Source organism: Homo sapiens, chromosome 4 (genome assembly GCF_000001405.40).
Source record: "Homo sapiens chromosome 4, GRCh38.p14 Primary Assembly".
In the NCBI taxonomy this organism is placed as follows: domain Eukaryota; kingdom Metazoa; phylum Chordata; class Mammalia; order Primates; family Hominidae; genus Homo; species Homo sapiens.
The window spans coordinates 89,020,765-89,033,798 of NC_000004.12; the positions used below are offsets into that span (position 1 = coordinate 89,020,765).

General features: G+C 36.8%; 1 protein-coding gene across 10 annotated transcripts in view; it reads right to left on the minus strand.

Annotated features, from left to right (window-relative positions):
• Window positions 1-13,034, minus strand: part of FAM13A (family with sequence similarity 13 member A) — a 331,226-nt gene that overhangs the window by 294,805 nt on the left and 23,387 nt on the right. For 9 of the 10 annotated variants that reach the window (XM_047449481.1, XM_047449479.1, XM_011531516.2 and 6 more), the window contains one exon: window positions 8,696-8,885. In XM_047449481.1, coding sequence (XP_047305437.1) covers window positions 8,696-8,885 — 190 coding nt within the window. Of the gene's footprint in view, window positions 1-1,587; window positions 1,655-8,695; window positions 8,886-13,034 lie in introns of those variants that run through there. The other variant, XM_017007625.1, reaches the window with a different exon arrangement.

Here is a 13,034-nt window from a genome sequence, read left to right on the forward strand (position 1 = left end):
TGATTCTCTCAACACTGTAATTATCAATCATTGTGTAATTTTCACATTTTGTAAAACTTTCCTTAGAATAATAAATGTTCATATCCACTGCATGTCAGCTTAAAAGATCATATATGATTGGTATAAAACCCAGCTTCTAAAAATAAGGCTATGGCATATATAAACATAGAGCAAAACAGAGTACACAAAGAAATTTCATTTATATAATCTTCTAGAGCACATAACAAAAACTTACTCAGGGCTCTAACAGCAGCTTAACACTTCATGAACAACTACTTTTTAAATGACATGTATTTAAGAAACTTTTAAACTCTATGTAATTACCTGTGTAATAGTTTAAGAAATAAGGGGTAGTTTTTCAGTTATCACTAAATTCAAAATGTAAGACTCTAGGAAACTACAAAGTGGTATAAGACAAGATCCTTGCCTTCAGTCAGTTGATGGGGGATATCAGTGTCAGCTGAGGTTATCAGAGAAGGCCTCCTGGAGGAGGTAAACTTAACCTTTGGCTAAAGCAACACAGAGGGGCTGGAGCTGTTACGCTGTGAAACCAATGAAGCTTGAGCTTCAGGGCCCCTCATTTTCTTGGGCCCTTTACAAGCTCTGTCCCTAATCCTGTATTCTTAGTATCATATTCTTTTTCTTAAAGAAGTCTCAGAAGATTAGGCATCTGGACTCACAAAACCTTGATCTACCCCTGACAAAGATAAACAAAAATATGAATTGAGAAGTAGACATAGGAAAACATAAAGAAAGGTAGGCAGAGGACAATGTGGGGTGCCTAGGTCAAAGAATGATGGGATAATAAAATGGAGAAACAGGAAAGGGTCTGTGACAAGTTAAAGAGTGAAGGCCTTATCACTGGAGCAATAAGTGAGGAAAAAGACAAAATATAATCAGGGTTTTAGGAAGATTTAGCTAGCTAAGAAGTAGAGTATGGAGAGGACCTGCCTTATGGAAACTATCTTCTATTTTAAGGTAGTAAACTGAGATTATGGTGGAAAAGAAGTGAAAAACAAAGAATAAAGATGATTTGGTAACTTGGTTCAAAAGGGAGAGGGAAAGGGTTGAAAGGTAACCTTAAAGTTTTGAAAAGTAGGAATACAGGAAAAAAAAAACACTGTAAAAGATAAGATTAGGGGGTAGGGATAGGAGAGTAGCTGGTTTACGGCAGAAGATAATGATTTCCAGCTTAGTGTGCTACACACCATGTAAGTGAATGTGTCAGGCAGTAGAGGACTTTGAAAGTGTAAGAAACAATCTTTCTAAGAAAGAGCAGGCCAGGATTTAACGTGACATTCTTGAGAGTCTAATGGTGAATGTTAGCAATGACATAATGACATTGAAGCCTATCAGGATTTTTTAGAGGGGAGGTGATAATTTATATCAGCCTTTGCTTCTTTCCCTTAACTGGTAATTGTATTGCTCTTTTTAAAGCAAAAGAGGAAGCTAATTTTATTTTATTTTATAATCTAATAAAATACTTTTAAGTTCTTTAATTCAACAAACATGTAATAAGTGCCTGACATTATCTTAGGTAATAAAAAAAAATCAATCCTGAGAAAAAAAATTCAACACTATCATTACCCTCATGGACTTTGAAGTCTGGTGAGATGTTTGTGTTCTTCCACATATACATATTATTTGGCTGTGAAGAAAATCAATATCAAAAGTTGATATGAATTTTAGCTCCAATTCTGAAAAAAATTGTGACACTAGGGATGATATTAAAAGTATTTAACAATGACTAGGACCAGGGCACCACCTAAATGGAAGAGATACCAGTTGGTCTGTGTGGCAGACAGCTTCTAAAATAGTTCCCATGATCCCCACTTCTCGTACCACACCCATTATAATCCCCTCTACTTGAGTGTGGGCCGGACCTAGTGACTTGCTTCTAACAACAGAATACAGCAAATGTGATGTCATGTCATATTTTAAGATTAAGTTATAAAAGACTGACAATCCATCATGCTTCTCTCTCTTTCTCTCTCTCTCCCCCTCTCTCTGTCTGTCTGATGTACTTTATTAGCTACTGGCCACGGGCAAACAACTAAAGGTGGTCTCTGGCCAACGACCAGTGAATAACTGAAAACCCTCAGGTCAACAGCTCACAAGTAACAGAATCCTGCCAACAACCACATGAATGAGCTTGGGAGGGAATTTTTCCCCTGTTGAGTCCTGATATGACTGAAGCCTTGGCTGACACCATGATCACGGCCTTGTAACTCTAAGACAGAGGACACAACTAAGATGTATCTGGATTCCTGACCCACAGAAACTATGAGATAATGATAAATACTATTGTTTTAATCTATTATGTTTTGGGGTAATTTGTTATGCAGCAAATGGGTAACGAATACGATACGCCTTTCCCTTAAGTTCTGTGGAATATCAGGTTCTATTGGGAGATGCCAGCTTAATCATTTAAAGCTTTCAAGGTCTGTCTCCTCTACTATACAAAAGTTTATCTTTAGCTTCAGAAACTTATCCAACAATCAAGCAGCTAGCATCCAACACAAAGGCATTCCGTCCCTGGTCAAATATGAAATCCTGAAAATTTAGAGTTTTGTTTCCTGTTCCTATATTTACCCAGCTGCTTAACCTAATCTTGCCTTCTGTTTTTGGCCTAGCAAATGCCCCTTAGATCTGATTTCACATGATGTTGTTTTTTTTTTTTCTTTTTAGCTTTGACCTTAGTCTTTCTTTTCCAACAAGGTTTTTTTGAACCTTCCCCCAAATAAATATACTTCCAGCAATTTCAGAAAAAAATACCCAGCTCCAAGAACTGTCTTGTGGTCCTCAAGCCTCCTGATTCCACTGGACCAAACTAGCAGTCATATAAGGTACAAATAGAAGTGACTGAATTTAATGCTCCTCAATAATATTTTCCTGTCTCTGTCCCATTTATCTGAACAACTCTTTTCCCTCAGGATTATCTCCCACCCACAACTCTTATGATAATTCGTGATGTTCAACTAGGGAAAGTTTATAATCCTGGGCATGAATATATCACATTCTGAGAAGAAGAATCCATACAGTTTTTTAAAGCCTCTTATGAGGCTAGAATATAGCCAGTACCCACATGAGGCTTACCAGACCATATAACCTTTAAATTTTCCTACTCTAAAATTGTAGAAAGTTATGACTGTAACAAAAATATTCAGAAAAGGGGGATATTTGGATGACTTCATGAAGCAGAGTTACTCTCATACATTTCAGAGCTCCTATTATATTTGATTTTAAGCTATGTGCTAATTATCACAAAACAGCAACTTAATAGTGGTTTAGAAATGAAGAAAAAATTATATAAGCTAATGTCTACATCACTGAAAGATACTTTTCTGTACAACTGAAATATTTCTTTCAAAATAGTATGAATATTAAAAACAGAATATGCCATTAGAAACAGAATATGCCAGAAGTCACAAATTGCCTAACAGCACACTTTGGCCAGGGAAGTAGTATGACAATAAGTAAGCACATTCTGACACCTGGTGGTGACTTGAGACTCTACACTGTAGGTTAAAACGGCATAACCTATAGTATCTTCATGCCAAACTAAGAGAAAGAAGCCGTTAACATTGTCAGCGAGAAAAAGAGTTTAAAGACTGTATGCTTTATAAGTTATAATGTATATACCTTTAAATGAAAATATCCAAAATCTGCTTAAAGGGCTTGATATAGGCCTTTCTGTCTTAAAAATTCCTTTACAATAATAGTTTACCTTCATGCCAAATTGTTAAATTGCATTTACGTGAAACAATAATAAAGCATAACCAAAATAGCAACCTATGATTGAATTACATGAATGGTCACCCCTATAGTCCCATTTCCATGCCTGACATAGTGCTTACTGTGTATCACAGGTGTACAGTAAATGTTTGTTGATCTGAAAAAACTGCAAAGTAATTAAATAAAACAAATTGAAGTATTATGCCCTCAAACTTTATACTACCCTTCAAACTTACACAATTTCTTTGGTTTATTAACATGGTAGTTTCAAATACAAGAAGGGGCTTGTGTTTGTCTACGTAGTAATTAACTACATAGCCTTTCAAAATACAGGTGCCAGGCCTACCCGAGCTTGCCCAGTCAAGATTCTGATTCAGTAGTATGAGGTGTGGGCAATGCATGTGTATTATGAAGATTCCACTAGTGATTCTATTTCACATCCCTCATTAAGAGCGACTGATTTAACTTAATAAAATGTTTAGTTTGCATTACCCGAATACACCCTGTTAAAGTATAACTAACAGTATGCTAAGGAGGGGCAGAAGAAAATCAATCCCTAATTTAAATTTTGTCAAAATTTTCATATGTTGATGGTGTGAGTGTAAATTGTTTCAGCTCTGATAGAGTTCATTACACATGCACATATCCTCTGACCATCCAGGAGTTCACTTCCAGGAAGGTAGTCTATGCACACACTTGTATGTGCTTCAAATGCCATATGCTAAAGGTTAACCATGGAATCATTGTTTTTTTTTTTTTTTTTTTTTTTTTTTTTTGAGACGGAGTCTCGCTCTGTCGCCCAGGCCGGACTGCGGACTGCAGTGGCGCAATCTCGGCTCACTGCAAGCTCCGCTTCCCGGGTTCACGCCATTCTCCTGCCTCAGCCTCCCGAGTAGCTGGGACTACAGGCGCCCGCCACCGCGCCCGGCTAATTTTTTGTATTTTTAGTAGAGACGGGGTTTCACCTTGTTAGCCAGGATGGTCTCGATCTCCTGACCTCATGATCCACCCGCCTCGGCCTCCCAAAGTGCTGGGATTACAGGCGTGAGCCACCGCGCCTGGCCGGAATCATTGTCTGTAAACGACAGAAGACTGGAAACAATCCATTTGCCCATCAGTATGGGACTGCTTAAAGATATGATATATACATGTGGTAGAACGGTGTGCAGAGGAAAAGAAAATAATTAAAAATGAGTAAAGCTCTTTATGCAATATGGAACAATCTCCAAAATACACTGATATTTAAAAGATTCAGAACAGTGTGCAATATTTGTGATAAAAGGGAAAAAAGAACACACAGACGCATACTTATATATACACGAAACATCTTAAGAAGATACCAGAAACGGGTATAGCAATACTGTTTTAGAGAGAGAAAACAAAGGTCAGGAGACACTTTGTAGGGATAGACTTTTCACCATATACTCTCCTATATTTTTAACCACATAATTTTATTAACAATTCAAAAAATATTAAAATTTTTAAAAATCAAAAATGTAAAATTTTTTACACAATAAAAGTATGATCAAGAGACTATTATCCAATGAATGTTGAGAGAAAGAACGTTGATTATGCCATAACCAGAATACTATTCTAGGTACCCGTAGTTGGACATCTAAATGAACCATACAACCCTACTTAACAGATGAAATGAAAGATCTAAAAATCCATTTGTATCTAACTCAGTGGGATACACAGCCTCACTCAAAACCAAGTATGTAAATAAATCCTGTTAAAGCTGGTTGTAAATCCTGGCTTCAAGATTTTGTAGGCCAAACTTCCATCTTCCTGTCATGCTATGTGTAACACTGTTTGTATTTAACTGTTTGAAGCATTTGAATAAATCCAGAGCTGTTTTCTAAGAATCTGGCCTTTTTACAATTTATCTTCCTTTAATAAGGAGAAAAATTCTACGGAGTAAGAACAGAAACCTGGCTCTTAAGTTTTCAGAAAAAAAATATAATTTTGTCATAAAGAACTGCCTGAGAGTGGGTAATTTATAAAAGAAAGAGGTTTAACTAACTCACAGTTCAGCATGGCTGGGGAGGCCTCAGGAAACTTACAATCATGGCAGAAGGCAAAGGGAAAGCGAGGCACCTTCTTCACAAGGCAGCAGGAAGAAGAAGTGCTGAGCGAACAGGGAAGAGCCCCTTATGAAACCATCAGATCTCTTGAGAACTCATTCACTATCAGAGAACAGCCTGGGGAAACCACCCCCATGATTCAATTACCTCCACTTGGTCTCTCCCTTGACACGTGGGGATTGGGGGATTATAATTCAAGATAAGATTTGGGTGGGGACACAAAGCCTAACCATATCAGTCATCTACATGCCTAGTAACCAGAGCAGATAGATGTTTTTTCAATTAACATCTAACCATCAGCAGAATGAATAATCTGCCATAGAGTCCCTGTCAAAAGTTGATAGGAACATGTGATGAGTGCTTCTCACTCATTTCCAATAAATGATTCTTATCAGAAAGGGAGAAGAGACTTGTAATCCTGGAAAGATATGGCCTGAAACAAATTACTCAAATTACAGTAGACCCACCTTACCGGCAGGGGATATGTTCCAAGACTGCCAGTGGATGCCTGAAACCTTGGATAGTACCAAACCCTATATATACTGTTTTTTTCTCCTATACATACATATCTATGACAAAGTTTAATTTAAAAAGTACGCATAGTAAGAGATTAACAACAATAACTAATAATAAAACAGAATAGAGCCAGGTGCAATGGCTCACATCTATAATCGAAGCTACTTAAGAGGCTGAGGTGGAAGGATTGTTTAAAGCCAGGAGTTCAAACCAGCCTGGACAACATGGCGAGACCTGCCTCTAAAAAAATTTTTTTTAATTAGCAGGTTACAGTGCCACATGCCTGTATAATGCCAGCTACTCAGAAGGCTGTGGTGGGAAGATTATTTGAACCATGGAATATGAGGCTGCAATGAGTTATGATCACATCATGGCATTCCATCCTGGAAAACAGAGCAAGACTCTGTCCCTTTAAAAAAAAAAAAGCAATACAATAGAAAAAATGGGAGAGATTTGTTCTTACCATAGATTTTAGCAACCTCAGCATACAATTTTTTTTCTTCCTTTATTAAGTCGAGAACTCACCTTTTCAATTAAAAGAAGCACTTCATGGCTTCTCTTTGGCATATCCGAATTGCCAGCATTATTATTCTTGCGCTTTGGGGCCATTATTAAGTAAAATAAGAGTCACCTGAACACAAGCACTGTGATACCACAATGATCAATCTGCAAATTGAGGCCACTGCTAAGTGACTAATAGGAAGGTGGCATATACACATGGATACACTGGACAAGGGGAGGATTCAGGTCCCAAGCGGCAGGATGGCTGGAGATCTCATCATGCTACTGAGAAGGCTACACCATTTAAAACTGATGAATTGGTGGCCGGGTGCAGTGGCTTAGGCCTGGAATCTCAGCACTTTGGGAGGCCAAGGCAGGCAGATCACCTGAGGTCAGGAGTTCAAGACCAACCTGGCCAACATGGTGAAATCCCATCTCTACTAATAATACAAAAAAAAAAAAAAATAGCTGGGTGTTCATCTGTAATCCCTGCTACTTGGGAGGCTGAGGCAGGAGAATTGCTTGAACCCGGGAGGTAGAGGTTGCAGTGAGCCAAGATTACGCCATTGCACTACAGCCTGGGCTACAAAAGCTAACCTCCGTCTCAAAAAAAAAAAAAAAAAGCCCCCAAAAACTGATGAATTGTTTATTTCTAAAATTCTCCAGTTAGTATTTTTGGACCATGATTGGTCACAGGTAAGAGTGAAACCTTAGAAAACCAAACCATGCATAAGGGCGGGGGGGATTACTGTACAGAATATTTTTGAAGCCTCAAGTTTTACATTTAAAAATCCCTTCATGGCTGAGCATCATGGCTCATGCCTATAATCCCAACACTTTGGGAGGCTGAGGTGGGAGAATCTCTTGAGCCCAGGAGTTCAGAACCGGCTGGGGCAACATTGGGAGAACCTGTCTCTACAAATAAAAATAAAAATAAAAAAATCAGGCAGTGTGGCAGAACACACCTGTGGTCCCAGCTACTCGCGAGGCTAAGAAAGGAAGATCACTTGAGCCCTGAAGTATGAGATTACAGTGAGCTATGATCATATCACTGCACTCTGGCCTGGGTAACAGAGCAAGACCCTATCTCTTAAAAAAAGATGTAGGCACATGTATACATATGTAACTAACCTGCACAATGTGCACATGTACCCTAAAACTTAAAGTACATAAAAAAAAAAAAAAGATGTAGGGAATATGGAAGCATTCTCTCAACTTATCCAGATTTGTGATTTATTTTAAACGAAATCATCAAAAAGCTGTGGGCTTCACAGCTCTCAATAACTAAATGAGATATAATTTATCTTTTTACTGTATAATGTACTATATTATTCTCCAAATGTTTTACATGCTTTATCATTCCAAAAATAAGTGAAACCACCCCCCACCACTCCGCATAGTAAGCTTTACATCATAGTTTTTTGGTGTCTCTCCTAAGTGTATGAGGATAGTCAAGGCATTGAATAAGTTCATGATTGACCTCAGGTAAAAGAGATACCCAAAAACGTGTTTGATTACATTAAAAATTATTGACTATCAGTTGGAATTTAATTAATCTAGTAAACTGACTATTAATATTACAACAGTGTATTTCAGCATTTAAAACTAGGAAACATTCCAAACTAGAAATCTCTATAATTAAAGTGATTGCTCTATGGTTAATCAAATTAGTACTGTCAAGATCATGTTAAGCAGTAATGCCCTTTTTTAAATGAAAAGTATATTACACAATAACTTAATATTCTAATGAAGGTGCTTTAGAGGATAGCCTAATCATACATTATGAAATAATTCACACAAATAATTTGTTTATGCAAGGGACTGTGAAAATGAACAGACTAAAGCATGACTTAACTCACCATGCTGCGTCAAATATTCCACTATATTCCACACTACTGCTGGAATGCCATTCTCGGTGAGCCCCTGCCGTTCAAGTTCTTGGAGACTGACTCCAAATAACTTCTGATAGGTAAAATCCTTCTGTTCATTTAATGGCACTGCCACTATCTTTTTCATGTCTTCTTTCAGCCGAACCGCTGCTTTACTTTGCTTAAAGGAGCGTAAGAAAAAAGAGCAGTCAGTCATATTTACCACAGGAGGTTGCATGGTTACAACAGAAACACCTGAATTAAAATGTGTTTGAAGATGAATAGTTGTGGTCTTATTTTTACTTCAACTCAAATCAAAATCTCTAACATCTCTCACATGTTGCTCAGATATAATGGTTAAAAGGACTGAAAAGTAATGAAAAACCTAAAGCCACAAATGAAGTGTGCAGCTAAGAGAGGGAGCAATACACTGCCGTATCTAAGATATATTACTACAGTAACCAAGGGGTGTGACCCAGCACTACCTGGTTAACAGGAAAATAAAACATTTATAAGAACAGTGAAACGCCAGGCAGATCCTGAAACAATGAGATGTTTCTAAAGACAAAAATTTGTCTCGGTGTCATTTTAAGGTAGCTTTAATTTAAAGTGTCAGAAAAAAAAATTACAATGACCATTCTTCATCTATAATGACCATTATAGTTCTCTGATTTGATTACATCTGTAAATATCTCAGTAATCTTCTGGAACATAATATCAACTCAGTTCTTACTGAGGTTCAAAATGCCCTCAAATCTTTGAAACAACAACATTTAGGTAGTTGCAATTTTAAATTTTTCAACAAGATTGTATTATATATATTATAAATAAAAATGCAACTTAGATTCAATTACCTCAAGTTAATAACATAATGAAAAATTCATAAGAGTTTGTTTCTTCCTTGTAATAAAAATCTGCATCCAAGCAAAGAGGAATTTTTAGAGATGTGTCTTATATAAATGTTATTATATATGTTAATAAATCCAAACACTGAAAAGAGAGATGGCAAAATGCGAACGGTCTTATTTGGGGGCAGAGGCAGTAAAATTGGAGGAAACTTCCACTTTCTGAGAATGAATGTAGCAGCTTACCAATGTGGAAATACTATTAAATGACTTAAATCACCAACATTTAGTCACCAAAGAATCCTAAGAGTAGAAACATTACATTCAATCTAGAGTTGAGGAAGCAAAAACCAGAGTTAAGTTATTGGTAAAAGTCAGAGAACTAGTAAGAGACAGTTTCATCTTGCTCTAGGTCCATGTTCCTCTCCTTAATTTACAATAGATTTATATTAATGTTATAGTGCAGTTTATGTACAATTATAGTGACAAACTTATAAATGCTATATGTGACATAAGACAATTACAAGTTAATTCTACAATCTTTGAGTAGGATACTTGTAATCTCAATTTGATTTTAAATTGTGTAATCTACAGAATCAGGTCAGCTTTTACTAACATATCTGCATCTTTTGTAGGTCATATTTGAAAGCCATATTTCTCCAGTGAAATTTCAGCCAATGTAAAGGTACAATACAGATTTAGTATCTATTAATATTATAAATAAGTCATGGGGTAGCTACTATGGAGTAGTATAGCAGTATGGGCAAAACCCATGATCTCTGTTACCAAGGAAATTATGATTTTGTTAATTAAGTCAAACTTGTAACAGTTAATAATTTCTTTTTCTTGTAGGTTTATAAATGTATCAATCTCCTTCAACTGAATCCATGGGAAATTTCAACCAGGTATATCTGGTGATCAAGCAGCTAAAAAATAACCAGTAATAACAAAACTTAAAAAAAAATTTCAGTGTAGCATTAAAAACAGCTGACAGTGAAGTTAAATTATATAAATTTTATCTTATTTTATCTGCTTACACAGAGAATACAGCATAGTGGTTTAGAGCATAGACTATGGAACAAGACTGGATTGAATCCCATTCTGACTCTTATTAGCTATAACCTTGCACAAGTCATATAACCTCTGTGTACCTCAATTTCCTCATCTATAAAATGGGAATACCAAGAGTTTGTATGTCATAGAAATGTACAAGGTAGAAATTAGTTCATTTATGTAAAGGAGTAAGAACAGTGCCTGGCATACTCATTGAGTACTGATTGTCATAATCCTTTTCCTTCTCCTCCTCTTTCTTCTAGGAATTATTATTCTGATTTCTTCTTAAAGTAATGGAAAGCTAATTAATCATTCCTGTGGTAAATATCTCCATAAAGGTTACTTTTTTAAAAGGGAAACATGGTTGAGACACATTTCATTGCTGAATATTCTGATGACCTAATAACTATTCTCCATACATCTCTAATTTTCTAAAATCTGTAAGTATGACCTTTGAATGAAGATAAAATAACTTTATATGTACTTATCACAATTCCTTGATTTATTCCTAGAAATTCACGAGGTTTTCTTAGAAATTCTGTCTATATTTGAGTTTAAAACCTTGAATTAGGGCCAGGCACGGTGGCTCACACCTGTAATCCCAGCACTTTGGGAGGCCGAGGTGGGCGGATCATGAGGTCAGGAGATCGAGACCATCCTGGCCAAAATGGTGAAACCCCATCTCTACTAAAAATACAAAAAATAAAAATAAAATAAATTAAAAAAAATTAGCCGGACATGGTGGTGGGCACCTGTAGTCCCAGCAACTCAGGAGGCTGAGGCTCGGAGAATGGCGTGAACCTGGGAGGCGGAGCTTGCAGTGAGCCGAGATCACGCCACTGCACTCCAGCCTGGGCAACAGAGCGAGACTCCGTCTCAAAAAAAAAAAAAAGTTACTAATTAAGGTATTCTGAGTCTACCTATAACTGTTTAAACTTTTGTTTGCATATAAATTCCCATGCATCACTTGAGTGTGAAGACTGGACTATCTGGAGCATATTCATGGGGGTGTGTGTGTGTTTGTGTGTGTATAAAAACAATATAGGTTCCCACATAACAAAGACAACCAGAGAACCTTAAGGTTTTACTGTTAGAATAATCCTTAGGGGCCTTCTAATTCTTACACTATCGCCTTAGTAGTAAGAAAATCAGGACCTAAAAAATTGTGGTTTCAGTCAAAAAGGGCTGTGCCTAGAGTCCAGATCTCCTGAGTTTTATACCAGTATACTTTTTTATAATTAAGTACTGGTGACCTTGTTGATGCTTTTATTTTTGTTGGAAAATAGGATAGTTAACAAAATACACTGATTGTAGTAAATATTTATTGTGGTTTGGGGACACTTAGTCTCCACTTGTCCTTTTTCCAAATAACAAATCCAGACTGTGTTTTGAGGAATGACTGCATGTTCACTGTGAACAGCTTTGATAACAATACTACTCAAAATGATTGCCTTGCCTCTAGGAAAGACAGGGCTCAGTCTCTCCACCAGCTGAATCAGATCCCTTCTCCGGGAAACCACTGAAGCTTGAGTGGCTTATCATAAAGACAGAAAATGGGTACTACTCTAGTGCTCTAACAAGATGGGTGACAGCATTTGCCACCTGCATCACTGCAGCTGATATGGTCCTTGATCTACTCTTTCTGACATTGTTCATTCTTCCACTATTCATTCCATTTGGTAAGCTGCTCCAGTAACTTTCCAGTAAAGTTTCTTTATTCTGAAATTAGCCAGAACTCATTTCTGTTCTGTAACAACACACACACACACACTCTCTCTCTCTCTCTCTCTCTAATTGATTAAAATACCTAGAAAAAAATTAAAATTATCAGAGAAAATAGAAAATTAAAGTTTTAAAAGATAAGAAAAAATCAAAATGATAATGACAGTGAACTTTTATGGAGTCTTTAGTGTCTATGCCAGTCAGGGCTGCCAATACTTCAAACGGCTTCACTCATTAAATCCTATAAAAAAGAAACTCTAGGAAGGAAGATACTTTTGTGATTCCCACTTCACAAAAGGCACAGAGATGCCAGTAAAGTGCTCCAGTTCGCATAAGAAAGTGGTGCAACCAGGAGTCACACTCAGGCAAGCAAGCTGAGTCCAGGGGCCACAGTCTTAACACTGTCTCCAACTAGATAGTGGTGAGAATAAAAAACACATGCTGTAAAGATAAGTGCACTTGCTAGAAATGAGAAACAAATTCCATATTCTTGTAGCAGAGAAAAATAGTTATTTACATGTTTCATGGTCTCTTTAATACAAAGTAAGGTATGTTCAGAAGCAACATCAATAATTATGATATTAGGACCTGAATAAAGATGGCGTTCATCAATACAGTAAATAGGACAAATTTCAGGAGCCTTGAGTTTTTACAATAGCTAACACATAGAAGGGACTGATTGTATCACAGACACTGTTGTACATGGTTTA